Raw genomic sequence first — 23300 nt, forward strand, 5'->3', positions numbered from 1 at the left:
CCTGAGCTCTGCCTCCTATCAGATCAGCAGCAGATTATCATAGGAGCGTGAACCCCGTTGTGAACTGTGCATGCGGGGGATCTAGGTTGTGCACTCCTTATGACAATCTAATGCCTGATGATCTGTCACTGTCTCCCATTGCCCCCGGGTGAGACCATCTGGTTGCAGGAAAACAAGCTCGGGCTCCCACTGATTCTACATTATAGTGAGATGTATAATTATTTCATTACATATTATAATGTGATAATATTAGAAATAAAGTGCACACTAAATGAAATGCGCTTGAATCATCCCAAAACATCCCTCACCCCCAGTCCGTGGAAAAACTGTCTTCCACGAAACCGGTTGCTTGTACCAGAATGGTTGTGGGCCAGTGCTCCAGACAGAGGTAACTGCACATACAAAGGGCCTGGGGCAGGAATGGACCTTGGAAGTTCTGAGGAACAAAGAGGCTAGGCAGCCTGAGTGCTGTCACCAAGGAAGGGACAGATAGGAGATGTGGACAGAGAGGTGAGCACACCCAGGCCAAACAAGGTCTTGGCAGCCCTGGCGAGGAGATGCCAGTTTATCCAAAAAGCAGTGGGCAGCCGTAGGAGGTTTTCAGCCGGAAGTGATGTGGTCAGGTTTACAATTTTTAAAAGTGTCCTCCGGCTGTGGGTGGGGAGAAGGAATGGCCAGTTGCTGGGGACAAACAGGGACAAGCAGATCGCCAGGGCGAGAGGCGAGAGCTGCTTCTGTCTTGCCACTCCATGCATTCCTGTCTTCCGCCTGCCTGTTTTTAGTGAGGCTGTGGCTATTGAGGAAGACTGGGCTGCGGGGGACACCAAGGCCCTGCTGACTGGTTGTAGCAGGGCCAGGCGGAGCTCTGGGTGTTGGTGGCATGGAGGGCGGGCTGCCTGTGCCTAATTAAATGCTGGCTCCAGCCATCCGCTCCCTAGAAGGGTCTTGCAGCTCCTGCAAATGAGGATGAGGCCCATTCATTCCCTGGAAACTCAATTAGCTGGGTATGGAGGGCTCCATCTCTAGTGACAGGTTTTATTGCCTGCTGAGTCACCACGAGGACAAGCTGTGTCTTAAATATCTGTCTTGTGCCTTTTAAAGTGTGGTTTTGTTCAGAGGGATGGACTAGAGGAGGGGGAGAAAATCCACAACAGACCCTCAGAACAAGGCCTGTCACTCAATGGATATTTAATTATCGCCTTGGAGGAATCTGACACTACTTGCACCTTTCAAAGAGCTGTTCTCAGCGCCATCAGACTGACCTCCCATTTCTATGACAAATATTTTGTAGAGCGCCCTTGTTTTCTTGAAAGGAAATTTATAGGTAACAAAAGCTACCTATGCATGTCATTTCCACAAAATCAATATAATGCTCTAACTGCAATCTACAGGGAAAATAAAAGGAAAGCAATTTATAATGAAGATAAATTTCAATATGAAATTCCCCCAGCACATCCATCAAGAAGGCACAACACAGTAGTCAGGCAGACGCCTGCACCTAGACACAGATTCACTGGGAATGTGACAATTACAAGGGCAGCTGGGTGGGCGGGCGACATTTGCCATTCAAATCCTTTGGCGTAGCACTGTCATCGGGGATGGGACTTTCAGAAATAAGGAATGACTCTTGGGAAAGTTTTGCACTCAAGTATAATATTGCCTCCATTTTCTTATTCCGTACATTCCTGGGAATATGCAAAAACCCTCCAGTATTTACATATAAAATAGACGTAGGTTCAAGACTCAGATGACAATAAACATAAAATAATCTACCCATATGAGTGATGTGGTAGGAAACTCAGAAGCTATGTGGAATACAATGCAATGTGGGGGCCACGTGGACTCTGCTGTGCAGAGCAGGACATCAAAGTCCTTCTTAGTCTCCGCCCCCAGGAAGCCAGCAAAGTCAAATCCTTCACCATCACCGGCAATGCAGTCACAGAGTTTAACCCCTAGGGGGCGGTGTGCTCCCTTGAGAACCACCAGCTTAGAAAGAAGTTTGCAAGCCGGTGGCCTGCAGACCAATCCATCCCTCAGGTGTGTTTGCTGTGGGCCTGCCCGGTGTTTTCAGTTGCTCATTCTTAAAAAGTAGAGTGAACAGTCCACAGTTGAAATCTGGGCACCCCCTCCCCACCCAGCCTGCCTCTCTGCTTTGGGCTACCTGCCAGCCCTCTATGCATTTGGAGCCCCCAGGCTAGAACGGGTTCACACAGGGATGACAGAGGAAGCCCCGCTCCCGGCCTCGGTGTAGGAACTCGGTTTCCCTTCATTTGCTCAAATCCCCTGCGACACGGATGGATTCCCAAAGGACTCGCTGTGTGGGCTGGCACAACCTGCTGGCCCCGGGATGGATGGTGTCTGCTGCTCGGAGAACAGGAACCTGTCCTGAGACCCTGACCCGAGACCCAGGAAGGTTTGGGAAGACAGATCAAGGTACTGGGAGCATAAGGGGAAGTGAGTGCAGGGATGAGGAGGAGGAGATTGGATTACAGATGAGGAATCACGGAAAGCACTCACCTAAAGTTCGACAGCCACCACCCCCTGCGTTTTTATTGCCCCTTCTCAGTGCTGTGTGTCACTCCCCACTCCCAAAAGATTTTGTTTGATTAGGCTTTATTCTTCTTTCTTTTTTAGAGACAAGGTCTCACTCTGTTGCCCAGGCCGAAGTACAGTGGTGTGATCATGGCTTACTGCAGCCTCAAACTCCTAGGCTCAAGTGATCCTCCTGCCTCAGCCTCCCAAGTAGCTGGGACTACAAGCATGGACTACCATGTCCAGCTAATTTTTTTTTTTTCAAATTTTTTGTAAAGATACAGGTCTTACTATGTTGCCCAGGCTGGTCTCAAACTCCTGGCCTCAAGAGATCCTCCTGCCTCGACCTTTCCAAGTGCCGGGATTACAGGCCCAGCCATAGGCTCTATTCTCCTGCTGTCCAAGAGTCCTTTCTGTGCCAATGGAAACATTCTCTATGTGCATTATCCAGTACAGAACCCATGTGCGCCTACTGAATACCTGAACCATGGCTAGTGCACCTGAGAAACTGAAATGCTAATTGTAATTAACGTAAAGTTAAATAGCTCCCTGTGGCTAGTGGCAACGGTACTGGGCCATTTGGCTCCAGCCTAACTCATTCCAGAATGTTCAGGGAGTCACAGCTAGCACCTAGGAGAGGACTACAAAAGGTCTCATGCACTCTGAAACCCCCGGAAGCCTCTTGAGGCCCAGGAGACAGGGTGTGCCTGTCTGTCACCACAGTCACCCTTCCCTCACTTTTGACCCTGCAGCTGTTTCAACGCCCACTGCAGGTGGAGATTCCTTGAGAGAAACCATGGTTGGGAAGGGAAGGCTACGCATGGAGCTGATCTTCAGGGCGGCCACACTGCTCCCCACCCAGGACCACAGCTGGGGCAGTGAAGAGGGGAAGAGCGGCAGGTTTGCTCAGTTTGACATCGGCTCTGCAGCCTTTATGGGGGGGGGCGGGGTTTAATGTGTGAAAGAAACCAGCCGTCACGAGATGAATGTGTTCCCCAAAATATATGCTCAAGTCCTTGCCCAGGTACCTGTGAGGGTGACCGTGTTTGTAACATGGTGTTGTAAGATGAAGTTACGCTGGATCAGAGCGGGCTCTAGTCCAATCACTGGTGTCCTGACAGAAGAGGGAAATTTGGACACTGATTCAGAGAGGAGCAGGCCACGGGAAGAGAGGGACCCACAGGGAGGAGGCCGCATGAAGATGAAGGCAGAGGCTGGAGTGATGTGGCCACAAGCCAAGGGGTGCCAAGATTCCCAGCAACCCCCAGGAACTCAAGGGCAAAGGACCCTCCCCTGAAGCCTGCAGGGAAAGCGTGGCCCTGATGATGCTTGATTTTGGGGTTCTGGCTCCCGGAACTGTGAAAATCGCCTTTTGTTCTAAGCCACCCAGTCTGTGGTCCACTAGGGAAGTGGATACACCTGCTAAGGGGGTGGGACAGAGAGGGTGTCGCCTGGAAACAATCGGAAACCCTGCCCCATCGGCCTCACATCAGCTTCCTCTTTCCCCGTGGCCACTTCCTCTTACGGCGCAGGGAACCTCTCCTCCTGGGTTTGTGGGCACAGGTCACGTATCACTCAGGGTGGCGTCTTATCACAGGCACTGGGTGACTAGTGCTTAGATGTCACAACACTGCTGCACAGATGGAGAGACTGACGCCCAGAGGGGATGAGGTCTCAGCTCAAGGTCACAAGGGCGCTTAAGGCGGAGTCTAATTCTTTAGACTCTTGCTCAAAACAAGTGCTTCACTTATTTTGAAATCTGAGGTCTTAGAGAAAGGAAGTGACTATCAAATTAGAGGAAGAAATTTCGCTTGAAGATGTGCACGGAGGCGGCAAATCCGTGCCTCTCGAGGACACGCTGGGTCAGCCTGGGTCCCAGGAGGGGCTGTGCAATTCCCGTGGATACTCGGATCCCCACAGTGGGGAAGGCTGGGTGTTCGCTGCAGAGAGACAGGAAGGCTACCTGCTGTGAGCAGTGGATACACTCCACGGGGTGAATGGAGAGGCTCTGCTGTCCCCCCACAGGCCGGAGAGGGGGAGGGAAGATGGGCAGATGAGAGGCAGCTGGACCGAGGGAAGAAGGGAGCTGTGTGTGTGCGTGCGTGCGTGCACACTTGTGTGCACTCAAGGAGAGAGGAAGAGAGCAGGGAGCAAACCCAGGAGAAGAGCCAAGCAAAGAGAAGGCTGCCATTGTGAAGGCAGGGACAGCTGCACCAGGGGCCCAGGGACGGCATCCCGGGAATAATTTCAGTCTTCTCTTCCCTGTGTGTGCAGAGAGGCTGAGAAGAAAGAGGAGGAAAGGCTGAGATGGTGGGAGTGGGGGTGGAGAGGAGAGAAACGGGAGAGGAGAAAGGAGTGTGGAAGAGATGGGGGTGGGCTGCTGGCGGGGACAGAATGTGGAGACTTAGTCACCAGTCATCCTGGGAAGGTCTCCTGAGCACCTACGATGGGGTGGGCACTCTCTAGGCCTGGCAACCCGCGAGGGCACAGAACAGAGGCCGCTGCTTCCAGGGAGCTGGCATTTTATTTATTTATTTTTGAGATAGAGTCTCATTCTGTCACCCAAGCGACAGAGTGTAGTGGTGTGATCTCGGCTCACTGCAACCTCCACCTCCCTGGTTCCAGTGGTTCTCCTGCCTCAGCCTCCCGAGTAGCTGAGATTACAGGCTTGCGCCACCACATCCAGCTAATTTTTGTATTTTTAGTAGAGATGGGGTTTCACCATGTTGGCTAGGCTAGTCTCAAACTCCTGACCTCAAGTGATCCACCCGCCTCAGCCTCCCAAAGTGTTAGAATTACTGGCGTGAGCCACCACGCCCAGCCTGAGAGCTGGCATTTTAGAAACGAGACAATCAATGAGACAAATGGGCAGAATACACAGTCAGTGGTGTTCAGTGGTGATGGGGGCACTGGTGGGAAAAAACTGGGATGAACAGGAGGCATGGGGTAGTCAAGGAAGGCTTCTTTGAGGAGGCAGCATTGGAACACAGACACGAGGAAAGTGCAGACGTGTAGAAGTTTTGAGAAAAGGAAAGAAGTGCAAAGCACTGTGAGTGGGTGCATGTCAGGTGTGGCTGACTGCTTGAGAAGCTGTGGCTGGAGGACAGTGACTGAGGGGAGACCAGGAGGCTGAGAGGGTTCAGAGAGAAGGGAAGGATCACTGGGACCCTGAGGTGGCTGTCGGGGCCTCTACCCTGAGTAGGTGGGAGCCAAGGAGGGCTCTGCCCAGAGGAGAAAGAGCATCTGAACTAGGTTCTGACCAGACCCCTCTGGCTGCTGCATTGAAAACAGACCAAGGGGTCATAAACGCAGAAGCTGGGGGATCCCAGGAGAAACCTGGAACAGGGCAGGCGGGGAAGACAGTGGCGCGGATGGGCTGGTGGCAGCAGAGGGGACTCTGGGCATATTTTGAAGGCAGAGCTGACAGGGTTTGCTGATGAACTGAATGTGGAGTGTGAAAGGAATAGGAAAAAAAAAATCAAGAATGGTGCTAAGGTTTTGGCCTGAGCAACTGGAAAACTGGAGGTGCCGAGGAGAAGCCTGTGAGAGGCGCCGGGGAGGCGGGGGACCAGGAAGTGATGCTGGACTCATGCTTGATGTGCTGGGGAGAGCTCTGGGGCGATGGCCAGGAGGCAGAGGGGCCAGGGTGGATGGGGTTCAGGGCAAGGGGCTAAGGGTAGATCCAGAGAGTGGCAGGGAAAGAGGGGCATTGGGCCACTTTATAGCATTGCAGAGGAGGACGGCCCACGCAGCAGCCCTCCTGCCCCTGCGGTCCTGAATGAAACCGCTTTAGGGAAAAAACAAGTCTCATTTGTTGGGGATGCCAAAATGCCTAGCGGGCGCCTTTCCATCCTCCTGTGTGAGAGGGCGATGGGGTGCCCCAAGTGTAGTGTAGTGTAGATGGGGTGGGGTCATCAGGACACAGAGGCCCCCCAGACCCTGGTGAGGGTAGCTGCCCAAGGCTGATGGCCAGGTTCTGGTCCTCAGCTGACCTCTCTACCCAGCTTTGTGCGAGAAGAGTGAAAATAACTGGGGCGCTCAGGGCCAAACCCCAAAACAGGCTCCAACTGAGAGCCCTGGCAAGGCCTGGTCTTGTAAGGAGCATGTACCCCCTGCTCCCCTGACGCATTTTAGAACATGATGCAGAAGGGCAGAGGGCCCGCCACCATCTCTGCGAAAGTCTGGACCGGATGGCAGAAGCTGGGGCTGGGAAACAACTTCAGAACTGCCAGATTCAGGTGTGGAAGGAGAAAGGCATTATCCCAATGGGGAGAAAATGGCACTCCAATCTAGTTCACCAGAAAGAGCTGGAAAAGGTTGCCTTTTTGTTGTTGTTACTTTTTTTTTGAGATGGAGTCTCATTCTGTCACCAGGCTGGAGTGCAGTGGTGCAATCTCGGCTCACTGCAACCTCCGCCTCCTGGGTTCAAGTGATTCTCATACCTCAGCCTCCCTAGTAGCTGGGATTACAGGCGCCCACCACCACACTCAGCTAATTTTTGTATTTTTAGTAGAGACGGGTTTCACTATGTTGGCCAGGCTAGTCTCAAACTCCTGACCTTGTGATCCACCCTCCTCGGCTTCCCAGAGTGCTGGGATTACAGGCGTGAGCCACTGTGCCCGGCCAGCTGATGTTACTTTTTTTTTGTTTTTTGTTTGCCAAAGGCAGTGTAGTAAAATTGTGATCGGCACTCCAGTATGCTTTTCCTTATTCTTTCCAGCAGCCCTTGATTTCTACCTGGCAGTCCAAGTGCTGGGGAAAAAGGGACTCAGCCAGCTGCTGCAGAGCAGGTGATCCACGCTGGGCAAGTTGGCACAAACCATGTGCTTTATATGATGATTGGCTCAGGGGCTGGCATGTGACTCAGGGTGGTCCAATCAGAAGGGATCTCATGCCTTGAGCATTCTGGAAAAGGATGCTCTCTTGCTCCTGCCAGATGTGGACAAGGAGGCACACAGCTGCTGGAGTGCCAGCCACCATGTCCAGACCTCCAGCCTCGTGATATGATCATGATACTCGTAAACCACAAGATCCGACTCTGCCTGCTACTCACCTGTATCTTCTCTTTTTTTTTTTTTTTTTTTTTTTGAGACAGAGTCTTACTCTGTCACCCAGGCTAGAGTGCAGTGGTGCGATCTCGGCTCACTGCAACCTCCGCCTCCCAGGTTCAAGCAATTCTCCTGTCTCAGCCTCCCCTGTAGCTGGGATTACAGGTGTACATCACCATGCCTGGCTAATTTTTGTATTTTTAGTAGAGACGGGGTTTCACCATGTTGGTCAGGCTGGTCTTGAACTCCTGACCTCAGGTGATCCGCCCATCCCTGCCTCCCAAAGTGCTGGGATCACAGGCTTCAGTCACCGTGCCTGGCCTGTTTAGGGAGCAAAAAATTCAATGTTTTTGAAGCCAGCTGCAGTCGGGGTTCCTGTCCGTTGGATCTAAAGGGAATCTATTGCCATGAGCATCACACATCTTCAAGAGCAAACAGGGCAGCCAGGAAGTGTGTTCCCTTGCTCAAGCAGAACTCACACATCAACATCACCTCCTCAGAACCGAGGGGGACACAGCCAGAGTAAAATTGCTGAGTAGAAGGAGATGTCCATTTTCAGCTTTGCCAGAAATTGGCAAACTGTTCTTCAAAGTGGAGGGAACAATTTACCATCATGCTGCTGGCGCATATGATTTCCTGTTTTCCTACATTCTCACCAACATTTGGTGCGATGGGACCTCTTCATATTTGCTGTGGTCATGGCTGGGATGTGATAATGCACTGTTGGCTGCGTTTGCATTTTGCTGATTACCAGAGGCTGAGCACATGCTGCCACATTTTGATCCATGAGTGCAACTTACCATGACATTCATCAGAACACTGGCCTGAGGTGGGCTGTGTGATGTTGTGCTATTGTGCAAATCGTCATCGTCATTGCTAACTTTTTTTTATTACTGTTTTTTAAAAATTGAGAAGGGATCTCACTATTTTGCCCAAGCTGGTCTCGAACCCCTGGCCTCAGGTGATCCTTCCACTTTGGCCCCCCAAAATGTTGGAATTACAGGTGTGAGCCACTGCACCCAGCCATCATTGCTAAATTTCCCAAGTGCCTACCACGACCATGTACCAGACACTGTTCTAATGTATTTAATCTTCACAAAACTCTATGAGTTAAGTGACATTATTAACTGTGGTTGAGGAGGCCAAGACACAGAAGCTAAATAACTTGTCCAAGTTCATGCAGGCAGAAAGCAGCAGAGACTGGATTCAAACCCAGGCAAAGCTAATGCCCTCAACCACTCTGCAGAGAGCTGGGAGGTGTCTCATTCTGGGAACACTGTACAACTTTGACTTGTGGATATATAAGTGATCACAGGCAGGGCAACAGCACTTCAACTGCTGAACTGTGTTAAAGGATGACTATAAAACCTTTGTAAAAACTGAGGATGTGGCGAGGTGCAGTGGCTCACACCTGTAATCCTAGCCCTTTGGGAGGCCGAGGAGGGTGGATCGCTTGAGGTCAGGAGTTCGAGGTCAGCCTGGCCAACATGGTGAAACCCCGTCTCTATTAAAAATACAAAAAATTAGCTGGGCGTGGTGGCACGCACCTGTAATCCTAGTTAGTGGGGAGGCTGAGGCAGGAGAATCGCTTGAACCCGGGAGGTGGAGGTTGCAGTGAGCTGAGATTACGCCACTGCACTCCAGCGTGGGCAACAGAGTGAGACCCTGTCTCAAAAACAAACAAAAAAACAAAGAAAACAAAAAACCTGAGGATGCAATTGATCCTTCCAAGGGTATTCATATCTGAGATCCAAGTCCCTCAAGTTGTAAGAAGCCATACAGAGAAATATTCATGAACAAATTGATATTTATCCTGCTTAAACTTAGCTTCTCTCATTTTGTCTTTTGTCAATCTCCACTGCAAACATGGGGCCATGCAAAGCAAGATCACTGCAAAATGAAATTGCAAATATTTTAAAAGATGCAGGGTTTGTAAAATTAATTAAAATGACGCTGGAAGATAGCTCAAAAAACACATGCAAATCCACTGACGAATAATTACCTGGTCTATAAAGATACTACATGAAGGAGAAGAGACTATTGAGAAGGATGATGAAGTATGAGATGCACTTCACAGGGGAAGATTCAGATGTCAGAGAATTAGGAGAGGCCCTTGAAAAAATTGATCAAATCCTCAAATACTTTTGCAAAAATGTCCCTAGTGAAGTAAAGGATATCATCTTGTGCCATCCATTTCAATTTGTGAAACACATTATATTCCTCCCTACACTTCGTCAATTCACTTGCTTGAAGAATCAACTCATTAGTTGCAACTAGAGCCCAATATTTGTTAAATATCATTAGATGCAACCTAACAGAGGGCCGGGTGCGTTGGCTCATGCATGTAATCCCAGCACTTTGGAAGGCCAAGGCAGGTGGATCACTTGAGGCCAGGAGTTTGAGACCAGCTTGGCCAACATGGCAAAACCCCATCTCTACAAAAAATACAAAAATTAGTCAGGCGTAGTGGCAGGCGTCTGTAATCTCAGCTATTCAGGAGGCTGAGACAGGAGAATCGCTTGAACCCAGGAGGCAGAGGTTGTAGTGAGCTGAGACTGTGCCACTGCACTCCAGTCTGGGTGACAGAGCAAGACTCTGTCTCAGAAAAAGAAAAAAAGAGATGTAACATAACAGAGTTATTCTCGAAACATTGTAGTTTCATTTCAAGATCAAATACCTTACTAAATACATTAAAAGCACTATTTATTATGAAATGTTGGTCCACTTAAGTAGCATTTTTCTGGGGTCAGTCTTCCTCAGTTTGGGCTGATCTCCTCTATTCAAACGAGTATCACAAACACAAATGGCTAATAACTGTTAGGGTGGCCTAGACTTCACTTGTCCTTCAGTATCCGTTTTCTTCTTCTCCCACAGTAAAATAACTTTCATCTGGGCAAATGTCCACCTAGAATAAGACTACATTTCCCAGGCCCCTTTGCTGCCATGCATGGCCATATGACTTGTTTCTCACCAATGGGAAATAAGGAGAAATGGAGTCGGAGTCTCTGACCACTTCATAGAGCAGGGCCACCAGAACAACTTGGAATTTTATTTGACATCCCCGGTCTCTCTCACACACACAGCCAAACTTAAATCCAACTGAACCAACTTTGCTAGGTGGCCACGTGAACACAGGGTTTAACATGGCTGAAGACTCAGCAGGAACAATTTACTTTTGGTCCTTGGGGGATTAAAAATTTACAGTATATTCTAATATGTATGTACAAATCAATCTAAAAGGAAAAAATAATCTAAAAGGTTTTGAATTCATTATAGATTTTTGTCATTTTTCTTAGTCAACACTGATCAGTATAACATATCACGCAGTTGGATCTTTAAAAACATTTCCACTTTAAACAACAACTCAATATAAAACTCAAACCTGAGCTTCCTAGCTGCCAGGGCAAAGAGGGAAACTATACAGGGTATGTGGCTCTTATTATGTAATAACAAGGAGTACACCAGTTCATCAGACTAAACAGGTGTTTTCAGGGTCCTGAGTTCTGAAAGTAAGGCTGGAATGGGATTCTTTGTACAGAGTGGCATTCTAAATATAATGAATAAAATTCTCAGTGGCAGTTTTACAAAAACGTAAATGTTCTCGGTATCTGGCTCTTTACACTTGACATTACGCTCCCAGTCTTCATGAGGGTATAATAATGAATCATAGTTGAATAAAAGCACTTATTTAGGGAGACAGCTTTTTGGTGATTTGCATACATTCAAGGACAAGTTTGGGAAATCCACTTTAGAGAATGTTTATTCTTGAAATGATTGATTTTCTCATGTCGCCTGTAAGATTTTGAAACACTAGCCTTTAGCTCCCACCCTGAGCCCTCAAAATGGCACAGAATATATGAGTTTCCTTTCAGTCTGATGAATACTATTTCCATGCCCCCTCTGAATTCCCATGATCTTGCATTCCATTTTGATTATGCCACAAACACCTCACTTTGACTCTGGGCAGGTCTCTTTTTTGGGCTGCAGTGGCCCTGGCTGTGAAATGAGGGGGATTGATGAGAACAGGTCTAGGGTCTTTACTGATCTTCCAGCATCCAAAACGAAAGGTTTCTGTACAGACCTTTCACCCAGAGGTTGTGAAAAGAGAGTCTGTGAGCCACACACTCACTCCTCAGACATATTTTCTTTGGCCCCCAGTATACATTAAAGAAAAAATAAGCTGTGCCGGCATATTTTAAAATAAGATTTTCAGTGAAATATTCAGACTTTAAAACATTTCAAGGCTGGTCACTCTTGAGTGCATGGCTGTACTTTCTAGAGCCAAGTTGCAGGTGCATCTTCAATAAGGGCCCACTGCTGTGCTGCGGGCCTGCCTGTCCTGCTTCTGCTAGCAACATCCAGGCCCCCGCCAATCATCTAGGGTGGTGGCCATGGTAACTTCTGACACATGTGGCTTTCTGCAGAGGCTCAGGGGAACCAACAGGTGGTTGATTCTGCATAATGGCACGCACAATACACAGGAACAAGGTATAGGAACGAGGCCTTCCTAGTTCTCAGCAGAACATACTTTCTAGGTGATTCTGGCTATGGGATGAGGCTGTAAGAAGACACACCTTACTGGCTTGCTCCCCACACCAAAGCATCCCTGCCAGCCCACACTGTGTATCTGAGAGGAAGCTGCCCAGCCTCGAGGGCTGCAGGTCCAGCACTGCGGACAGGGCTGGAGGAGGAGTCCATCCTTCCCTTGCGGCACTCCCACCCAAACAAACCCCTTGTCACTTGGATGCAACTTCCTGGGGTTGCAACATCTGAGCCACAATATCTTGATTTCACAACCGCCGCGGCTTCTTACCCAAGGCGGGGAGTATTTATTTATTTTTAATTAAAGCAAGTTAAATGAATTGAGTCTGGAGGGTTTTGCAATGGCGCTACAGGTAAGTGACTATACTGTAATTGCATCTCTACCTCAGACAACCAGCCTGGCAGGTGAGCCTTCAGAGCCCACCAAAGACCTCCTGAAGGATAAGCAAACAGGAACTGGGTCGCCCTCCACCCAGGATGACACGGGTGAGTGTGGACAGTCAACCACCATGTCAGTTTCTGCACCACCTTGGTTACTGCCACGTAGAAAGCGACCACACAGCCCCATTATCTGTTCCCCTCCATGAATTCCCATCCCCCACCCCTATGTTTTGGAACCTTCTTCCAAGCTAATGGTTTGAAGTCAACGAAACAGTCCCTGATGGGCTTAATAACTATTAACAGAGGATGCAAACTCATGCATGGGCACCTTATGGCCTCTCCACACTATGATTCATAGTTTGAAAAGACTCACTTTTTTGGGGGACTCAAATTCCTTTGACAAGGTCACTTTACATCACTACTGTAGGCAAATAAATCTGTATTTCTTTAATACACACAGAAATAAATGCACAACTCTGAAATTATAAGAGAGTTGCTCTAGGGGCTATCCAGAATCAACTTGGGTACCGCAGTGGTGTGCAGACCACACCTAGGGACGCCCGCCCTGGCTGTCACTCCCTTCCTGCACCTGCCCCCGTCCCTGCTCACCTGTCCGGTAGCCAGTGCTATTGAGGTACACGGCAAAGGTGCGGCTCTCGTGCTGTGCCTGCCAGGAGGGCGAGGAGCAGTTCTCATTGTTGGTGTAGGTGTTGTGGTTGTGGACGTACTTGCCAGTGAGGATGGAGGAGCGTGAGGGGCAGCACATGGGTGTGGTCACGAAGGCGTTGATGAAGTGCGCCCCGCCCTGCTCCATGATGCGCCGGGTCTTGTTCATCACCTGCATGGAACCTGCAAGTCAAGGGTGGAAGTAAGGCGCAGGGCAGGAGACCCGGGCGGCACCGGCACCAGGGGGCTCTCAGCACGTGGCATCCCTAGGTCTGGAGTGGGCACATTCTGCAGACCTACGGGGCAGACGGGGCAGGGGCCACTGCTGCACGGTGGGACTGTCCTGCATAATCAGGAAGGACCCTGGGTCCCGAGTCCACCTGGACACTCCTGAGGTCCAGGTCTGGAGTCTGGAGGATTTTGCAATGGTGCTGGAGGTGAGTGACTGTAAGTGACTGTACTGTCACTGTCCGGTACTGTAATTGCATCTCTACCTGCAAGGCAGGTAAAAACCTGTTTATAAATGACCTGAGACTGGAATCAAACTGTTTTACAAATTTTAAACACAACATTGTTTTTGCAGGGTATTAATATACATTGTTTTGTTTTTTCTTTTGGAAACCAACCACCATGTAAATTGAGGGAAGATTATACTTTCTTTTCTTTGGAACTTTCCCAATAATTGTTTGCTCTTACTGAAATCTGGTCATGCCAACCTGGTGGCAAACCTTCTCCCTGAGTATTCCCTGGCTGAGGTGCTCTGCCATCAGCCACAAACCCTGCTGGCCTCTTGTCCACACTTTTCTTCGAGCCTGGAACCCACCACCCCTCACCCCAAATCCAACCCATCGGCCTAGTACCCTCTCGTAGGGAGCCTCTGGCACCACCCTGGGCTTGAGAGCTCTGAGCAGTCTTGCAGCATGTGTCCTGAGTACTGATCATACCCCAGGCTTCGAGGTTTCGGTCATGCCTGCTCTTGTTTCTTTCTTTTCTTTGTTTTTTTTTTTTTTTTTTTTTTTTTGAGACAGAGTCTTGCTCTGTTGCCCAGGCTGGAGTGCAGTGGTGTGATCTTGACTCACTGCAATCTCTGCTTCCCGGGTTCAAGCGATTCCCCTGCCTCAGCCTCCCAAGTAGCCCCTATACGCAGCTAGTTTCTGTATTTTTAGTAGAGATGACGTTTCGCCATGTTGGCCAGGCTGGTCTGGAATTTCTGACCTCAAGTGATCCGCCTGCCTCTGCCTCCCAAAGTGCTGTCATTACAGTCATGAACCACCTTGCCTGGCCATGCCTGCTCTTGTTTCTCAACCAAGCTGTAAGCAGAGCAAGACACTTAGGAAGAAAGGCAAGAAGGAAGGAAGGAAGCAAATGAACGTGTGTGGGAGCCCTACTGCGTGCAGGCCAAGGTCCCAGGAGGGCAAAGGCTGTGTGCTCCGCTCAGCGCTGAATCCTCAGCACTGCTGCCGTGTGTGACACACAGTGGGTACTCAACATAGGTGTGACGAGTGCATGCTCAATTGTATGCTGTGGTTGGTACCCAGACCCTTAGTGATTTGATGGAAATATTCCATGGAAACCCTCTCTCCTTCTTCTATGGCCATCCTTGGTTTTTCCCCTTTTCCTTGCAGTTCTTAAGGTGTGCAGTGGGTTGAACGGTGCCCCCGTCCCCTAAAGATAAGACCATGTCCTAATTTCTGGAAGCTGTGAATGTGACCATATTTGGAAAGAGGGTGATATGGTTTGGCTGTGTCCCCACCCAAATCTCATCTTGAATTGTGGCTCCCATATTTCCCACGTGTTGTGAGAGGGATCTGATGGGAGACAGTTGAATCATGGGGGTTGTTTCCCCCATACTGTTCTCTTGGTAGTGAATAAGTCTCACGAGATTTGATGGTTTTATAAAGGTTTTCCCTCTTGCTTGGTTCTCATTCTCTCTTGCCTACCGCCATGTAAGATGTGCCTTTCACCTTCTGCCATGATCCTGAGGCCTCCCCAGCCACATGGAACTAAGTCCATTAAACCTCTTTTTCTTTCTAAATTACCCAGTCTCGGGTATATCTTTATCAGCAGCATGAAGACAGACCAATACAGGGTGTCTTTGCAGATGTAATTAAATTGAGGCTACTGAAATGAGATTTGTTCTGGATTCCCCAGGTGGGCCCTAAATCCAGTGACAAGTGTCCACATAGGACACAAAGTGGAGAAGACGCACAGGCACAGAGGGGAAGGCCACATTCAAAGGGAAGCAGAGACTGGAGGGATGCACATACAAGCCAAGGAACAAGGAACTCCTAGGGTCCCCAGGGCTGGAAGAGGCAAGGAAGGGCTCTCCCCTAGAGCCTTCTGAGGAAGCACAGCCATGCTAACACCTTGATTTTGGACTTCCGGCCTCCAGAACTGTTGAGAGAGTAAATTTCTGTTGTTTTAAGCCACCCAGTTTGTGATCTGTTAGGACAGCAGTGGGAAACCAAAACAGGGTCTACCAGGCATGTGAAGGCTGTGATCCCAATCACCTAGCAACCCCCTAGAAACCTGAAAACAAGCATCAGACCCACTGCAGCCTCCTGGGATCTGGGGAAGGCCCTCTGCTCAGCAATCAGCTGCTTCTACTTTAAATTTTTACCACCAATCAAGGCACCAAGGTCGTGCCCCTGAGGTCCCAGTATTGCACATTGGCCGCCCTCCCACCTCCTGGCCCCTGCCTCAGCCGTACCCCCAGCCTGGGATGCTCTCACTCCTCCAATCACAGGGCTACCTCTGTCTCCTTCAAGTTATTGATCAGACACCACCTTCTTGGAGAGGCCTTCCCTGGCCTGTATTGAAACCACCTCCCGCAACCCATAGCACTCTCCACTCTGCTTCCCCGCTCCGTGTCTCTCCACAGCAGTTACTGTCCTCAAACATAAGTCATTTTGATTTCACTTATTTGTATGTTGCTGCCTTCACCACAAGGGCAGAGACTCAGCCTACTTTGTTCACTGCCTAGCACAGTGCCTGGCACATAATGTGCTCAACAGAGACCAGCTAAATTAACATATAAAATACTATCTTACACTCGGGTTTTCATATCTCAGGAATCCAAACCAGTTGGTGTCCACAGACCTGTGTGTTGGTGTCTTGTAGAGTGGGTTTTAAAAATGTGACATTAAATAGCATCACACAGGATATGTGCTCTCCAGTTTGCCACACTCCCCCGTGCTCCCTACAGTCTTACACCACCTGCACCCACTCTCATTACCTGCCCGACCCCTGAAGGCTTGGGTGTTGCAACCTTCTGATATAGCTAAGGAACTGAGAGCACTCCAACTTATTCCTGGGGAAGAGGGCAGTCTTCTATGCCAGTAATAATCATTATAATTAATAGTGGCGACTATCACTGGCTGAATGCTTATGGCTGGGCTGAAGACATTCATCACTTAATTCTCCCAATGGCCCATTTGACAGAAGAGGGAACTGAACCTGGGGAGCTGAATGACTGGCTAAGGCTGCACAGCTGGGAAGGCAGTGAAGACTCAAGCCTAGCAGAGGCGGGGTGCTGAGTTTCACGTTCACAAAATGTCACAGTCACACGGGAGGTGGTAACAGTGTCCTGAGGAAGTGCATAGAGGTCCCCATGCTCTTGGTCCACTCTTGGCTTCAGTTAAGCTCAGAATGGTCCCTTGGTGACCCAGAAGGGGGTCCTCTAGTGGTGACTTCATCAGGCACACCAGGGGTGGGGGTGGCCCAGGGTCACATCACCAAACACCAGGGATGCTGGTGGTGTGAAAGGCCACTGGGAGCTCCAGGCAGGGGGTGGCATTGCCTTAGATTAATTGCGTGGCTTGGTTTCCTTCTACTTAGGGCAAGTAACCTTAGCTTTTCCTTTAGGGTGGTGGAAATCCTCTTAAAACAACAACAACAACAAACAATTGCAGCCGATTTTTAAAAAGTAAATAATCGTACAAGTGGCACACAGATATATGATGAAAATTGTGAGGGAATGATTAGAATTTGGCAATCATTGGCTTGGTAAAACCCGGACCTGACATCCCTTGATGTGTGGCTTGGTACAACCCTGACATCCATTGATGTCATTCGGCTGTCGATTAGACCTCAGGTGCCACACCCACAGCCAAGCCCTGATGTCACCGTCCCTCCTGCTCCTCCCGAAGCCACTCCCCTTTCCTCCGGGTACTTGGGCAATCATCTTGGCTACGGTTCCTCCCATCTTTCAGTTCCCACATCCAATCCATCAGCAAAGCCTGTTGCCCTCTCTTCAACGTAAACACCCACGATCGTACCCTTGCCACCTCCCCCGTGGGTCAGGCGATCATCCTCTCTCCCTGAAATCAGGCCAGTTGCTTCCTGATTGGACTCCAGTCACTTATTCCCCACGGTGTAGCCAGAGTCTCCTCTCCTGACACTCTCCGGGGCTCCTGCTCACTCAGAGGAGCCCAAATCTTTCTGGCCATCCACAGAGTGTGGTGGGACCCAATCCCCTCCCCTCCCTAACCCCATCCCCCTCTCCGCCCACTCTCTGCAGCCACAGGGTCCCCTGCTCTGTCCACAGACTGACCAGGCGTGCTCCCATCCCAGAACCTGTGCCCTGCTGTTCCTTCTGCCTGGAAGACCTCTCCCCCGGAGCCCCGCAGCGGTGCCCTCACCCCCTTCTTGTCTTTACTCAAAAGTTCCCTTCTCCGTGGAGTCTTCCCTGGCCCCCAATATTTTCTACTCCCTTCCTTGCCTGACATTTTCAACCCTGCACTCATCATCTAACACATGATATACTTTTATGTTTTTATCTACTGATCCCGTTTGCTGTTCCCTGTGACTTTTGATGGCTCCACAGCTCAGCCTAGAACAGTGCCTGGCACGCAGTGGGTGCTCATAAATATTTCTTAAATGCACGAGTCCAGGGCACCCCAAGTGGAATCGATCCTTTGCTCCCTAGTCCCAAACACGAAGGAGAAAGGACGAAGCAGCTGGTAGTGAGAGCTCAGCCTCTCTCGGTCTCCAGACCCTGCAGAAAGGACAAAAGCTGGCCACCCACCTAACTGGTCAGACCCTTCTCCTGGAAGGGAACGCAGGGCAGGCCGTCACCTGATGAAATCACCTGCACTCCGCAGCCCCCAGTGCTGCCTTGGCAAACAGTGAACAGCCTCCAGAACCATTTCTTGTTTTTAATGGGCTCAGATCCAGGGTCTCGAAATGCTTAGATCTCCTTCCTCCTCATTCCAGAGGAAGCGAGCTGTGAGGTGCTCTTGGCCAGCACTCACCCTTCCCAAATCAGCTGGCGGAGGAGCGCTGTGTCAATCCACGAGTAAAGGACAACAGTGCCCCGGAATGACAGCAGCATCTGTGCATGGGCAGTGCTATGTGCTAAGCCTCCCCTTGGGGACAGTAACCTGCTTTATTAAAACTGCCATAGCGACGAGGCTGTGTAAACCTACCTCTGTAACACAAAAACATATGATCTCATCCCCTTGCCCAGCCCCAGCCCTAATGCAGAAGGACAGCTCCGACGGGAGGGAAGGACCTGAACGACACGGCCACACAGAAATGAAAAGGCCAGTTTTCAAGCTTTTCAATGCAGCTGGGCCAGCCAACCTCAACTTCTTTCGTCCAACATAAACCTGGGGACATGCAGACAAAAACAGACCCGGTTTCTTTCCATGACCAAACCTTCCCACCATACTGGGTTGAGGGTGAGGTCACTCTGACACCTCTGTGACTCTGATGGGCTGGAGAGGCCTCACCCCCAGGCCCATCTGTTGGGATTTAAACTTGGGGGCCCAAACCACCCAACTGCTAGAATGCAGTTTCTCCCATGACACTCCTGAACTGCCTCCCCATTCACGGTGGCTTTTTGGGGGCCTGTGTACCACTGTGCTATGATTTGTTTGATATTTGTATTTAACGTGATTTAAGAAAAAACCCTTTAATCTCAATCCAAGTTAACTACGTCGAGTTAGAGAATTAAGGTGTGAGTTATATATATATATTTTTGGATGCACCATCCAGTAAGTCCATCGTTGATAAAATCAATATTTTGCTGACCTGCCACAGATGACGACGTTGCCAGTGTCATAGGAAATGCTGAATGAATTTGCTCTTCTAAAGGTCTAAGTCAGAGCAAACACTATCTATGGGGACTTAGCAAGGTGCCAGGGAGTTTCAGGATTCAAAACATGATTTTTTTTTTTTTTTTTTTTTTTTTTTTTTGCCATTCCTGAGGCTTAGGTGGCTCCTATCTGTTGGAGGCCTGCTTCAGCTGGGAGCAGGGGAACCCTGTACCCCTCCCAGACAAATCCCTGCGGCCCTCAACTTGGGTGATTTTGATGTATAACTAGTGAGATGCCTTCCTATGGCTAGTTTCTTAAAATTATAGATATTATTAGAGTCTGTGATGGCAGGGCCTCCTAGGGAAAGCAGCAGAAGGAAGAATGGGGCAGGGAGAAAAATAAAGGCGGAGTCAGTAAACACAGGACCTTGACTTAAATTCACTCTAATCACTGTTTTCTCTGCCTGGACTATTGCAGTAGGCTCCCAAGCTGTTCTATTCTCCGTTTGGTGGCCAGAGGCTTTTTCTTTTGAGACAGGGTCTCACTCTGTACCCAGGCTGGAGTGCAGTAGTGTGATCACGGCTCACTGCAGCCTCGACCTCCCCAGGTTCAGGTGATCCTCCCACCTCCACCTCCTGAGTAGCTGGAATTACAGGTGTACACTACCACACTCAGCTAATTTTTGTATTTTTTGTACAGGTGGGGCTTCACCACGTTGCCCGGGCTGGTCTTGAACTGCTGGGCTCAAGTGATCCTCCTTCCTTGGCCTCCCAAAGTGTTGGGATAACAGGCATGAGCCACCATGCCTGCCTGGCCAGGACTTCTTTTAAAACAGTCAGTGAAATCATCATATTCGTTGCTCTTTGTCTTCCAGTGACTGCCCGCCTCACTCAGAGTAAAAATCAAAGTCCTCCCTCTGTCCTACAAGGTCCTCAGTGATCCGGATGCTCACTCGCCCCAACTACAACTCCTACTGTGCGCTCTCTCTCTAAGCTTCCTCTGCTCCAGTCACATTGACCTCCTCCTTGTTGTTCCTCGAACACACCAAGCACGCTTCTGCCTCAGGACCTTTGCACCTGCCACTCCTCAGCCCAGACTCAGTCCCTCATTGCCTTCAGGTTTCTGCAAATATCACTTTCTCAGCAAGGCTTTCTCTGGACTGTGCTGATTAGAATCATGCCCTCCCCTTCCTTCTTGCCTTTTGCTGCTCTTCCTGGTGCTTCCGTGTGAGTAAATGAAGAGTAAACATTCTTAGGGGACATGCAGGCTACAGATTCTTAGGGGACATGCAGGTGCCTTTGGGGTGAGTGGGGTACACGGTGGGTGGGGAGTCAAGGGCTATCTCTGCTTTGCATTACTTGGATATTTTAAAGTTTTGCTTGTGTAATTTTATTGATTGTTTTGAGATGGAGTCTCCCTCTGTCTTTCAGGCTGGAGTGCAGCGGCGCGATCTCGGCTCACTGCAACCTCTACCTCCTGGGTTCAAGCGATTCTCCTGCCTCAGCCTCCCGAGCAGCTGGGATTACAGGCAAGTACCACCATGCCCAGCTATTTTTTTTGGTGTGTATTTTTAGTAGAGACAGGGTTACACCATGTTGACCAGGCTGGTCTTGAACTCCTGAATAAATAAAAAATAAATAAATGCAGCAAGAGGGCCACAGGTTTCTAGAACAATGGGAGAGGGCAGGATTTGGCACTTGGCATTCCTGCACGGGTCTGCAGGCCTGTCTGTGTGCTACCCCTATGTGAAGCAGGCCCTGGGATTTAGGGGAAGAGGGCACACAGTGGGCTTTCTATAGATGACCGAAAAATCTATAGATGGTCTTGAACTCCAGGGCTCAAGTGATCCTCCTGCCTTGGCCTCCCAGTGTTGGGATAACACTGTTATCCACTGTGGCCACTGTTGTGGCCACATATCACCTGCTACACTCTACCTGGGGCCAGTCTGCTCCCAGGGGCCCCCAAGCTGTGCTTTCTTTCCTTGAGGAGAGGGGCATTAAAGTCCACCTGGCATGGGGCAGGCTGAGGATGAAGGGGGCACCACACACCCCTCTCCAGGCCGCGTCCTTCTCCTGATTCCTCTCTTACCTGTTTTGTTTTGTATGTTAAAAGGGTTCAGCTGCTACAAATGAATATGTGTGTGTGTGTATAACACACACACAAACAGATGCACATATACACTTCAGTCCTAGACTGAATCACCAGGTCCTTTTTCATCTGTAGACTTTGGGTGCCAAAGAGCACTGAATTGAGAGGCCAAGAATGAGGTGTGAACTGCCGTAAATCACTGACTTTGAGCTTCAGCTTCCCTGTCTGTAAAAACACAGCCCATAAATAACTTTAGGTATAAGGTTTGACTATGAAATTCTAGGATAGATTCTAGAACCTATCGCTATGTCACCATACTCAATAGGATGAAAAAGGTTTTCAGTCAGAAGGCCTGATTCCAAATCTTGATTTCTGCCACTTCCTATTAACCAGGTACCTTGTGCAAATGATTTAGCCACCCTGCACCTCAGTTTCCCCATCTGCAAAGCGGGAGAATAACAGTGCCTCCTTCTCAGGGTTGTTCTGAGTTTTGAGGGAAAAAAAAAAAAAAAAAAAAAAAAAAAAATATATATATATATATATATATATATATATATATATATATATATATACACATACACACACACTTTTTTAGTTCAATGCTTGACATACAGAAAGCACTTAATGCATGCCAGCTTTTATTTATTTATTTACTTATTTGAGACAGAGTTTCTCTCTTGTCACCCAGGCTGGAGTGCAATGGCACCATCTCGGTTCATTGCAACCTCTGCCTCCTGGGTTCAAGTGATTCTCCTGCCTCAGCCTCCTGAGTAGCTGGGATTACAGGCTCCCACTATCATTCCCGGCTAATTTTTTTTATTTTTAGTAGAGATGGGGTTTCACCATGTTAGCCAGGCTGTTCTTGAACTCCTGGCCTTAAGTGATCCACCTGCCTTGACCTCCCAAAGTGCTGGGATTACAGGAGTGAGCCACTGTGCCCGGCCACATGTCAGCTTTTCAACAAGTATCGTCTCACGCGGAGTTAAAAAACGGAGTCCCTCTAGACTAAATCTTGTCTGCATGTGTGTTTGATTTAGGTCTGCCCAAAAGGAAAGGATTTTAAAAATTGAATGGCCTTTTTCTTTAATTGCGAGATTTCACATCAATTCAGCTTTCTGGCTTTGCTTGAAAAATGCAAAGACCTGGCTTTGATGGGCCCACAGTGGGCTGGACCTGAGTAGCGAAGGCCCACTTGACAAGGTCCTCCTCTGGTCTTCCACCACCCCTACCATGCCGACTTCCTCCTTGCCAGCACGTGCCTAGCCCTGTGGGCATGGAGTTTGCAACCCTTAGCTGATTCAATTCCAAGTGAAGGGAGCAGCTAAATAAATCTGCAAAGGTAACGCTCTACTGGGGCCCAGAGACCTGCAGAGAACAGGCATTCAGTGGGGAAGAGAGGCTGTGGGGTCAGGTACAGGTTGGAACAGAGTCTTGACCTGGACAGGTGGGGGATGAAGAGGGCTATGAGGTCGAGCCACAGGCGGGAAAGAACCTGTGTCCTGCACTGACCTCTGGCTACTGGTGTCCACCTAACAGGCTGGAACTCATTCAGCAGCCCTCTCCTGGCCCTCAAATGTCCCTGGAATGTCCGCAGTGCTGTAGGATCAGCTTGTGAGCTCCCTGCCATGACCAAGGCAACACCTGCTAATGGGCTGCAGCAGGCTGGGCTCCATCAGACCTGACCAACTGCCCCAGAATAGCTCTGTCTCCAGCAGAGGGGAGAGAAAGGCCTGGGGCACAAACAGCAGAAATCGGGAGCCACACTTGGGCAAAAGAAGGATGAGTTCATGTCCTTTGTAGGGACATGGATGAAGCTCGAAACCATCATTCTCAGCAAATTATCACAAGGACAAAAGACCAAACACTGCACGTTCTCACTCATAGGTGGGAATTGAACAATGAGAACACTTGGACACAGGAAGGGGAACATCACACACTGGGGCCTGTTGTGGGGTGGGGGGAGAGGGGAGGGATAGCATTAGGAGATATACCTAATGTAAATGAC

The 23300-nt window shown here is 49.4% G+C and overlaps 1 protein-coding gene across 18 annotated transcripts in view; it reads right to left on the bottom strand.

Annotated features, from left to right (window-relative positions):
- SULF2 (sulfatase 2) overlaps positions 1 to 23300 on the bottom strand; it is a 129222-nt gene that overhangs the window by 66185 nt on the left and 39737 nt on the right. For all 18 annotated transcript variants that reach the window (XM_047440296.1, XM_047440295.1, NM_198596.3 and 15 more), the window contains exon 3: positions 13113 to 13352. In XM_047440296.1, coding sequence (XP_047296252.1) covers positions 13113 to 13352 — 240 coding nt within the window. The remainder of the gene's footprint in view (positions 1 to 13112; positions 13353 to 23300) is intronic.

Source organism: Homo sapiens, chromosome 20 (genome assembly GCF_000001405.40).
Source record: "Homo sapiens chromosome 20, GRCh38.p14 Primary Assembly".
NCBI classification, from domain to species: Eukaryota; Metazoa; Chordata; class Mammalia; order Primates; family Hominidae; genus Homo; species Homo sapiens.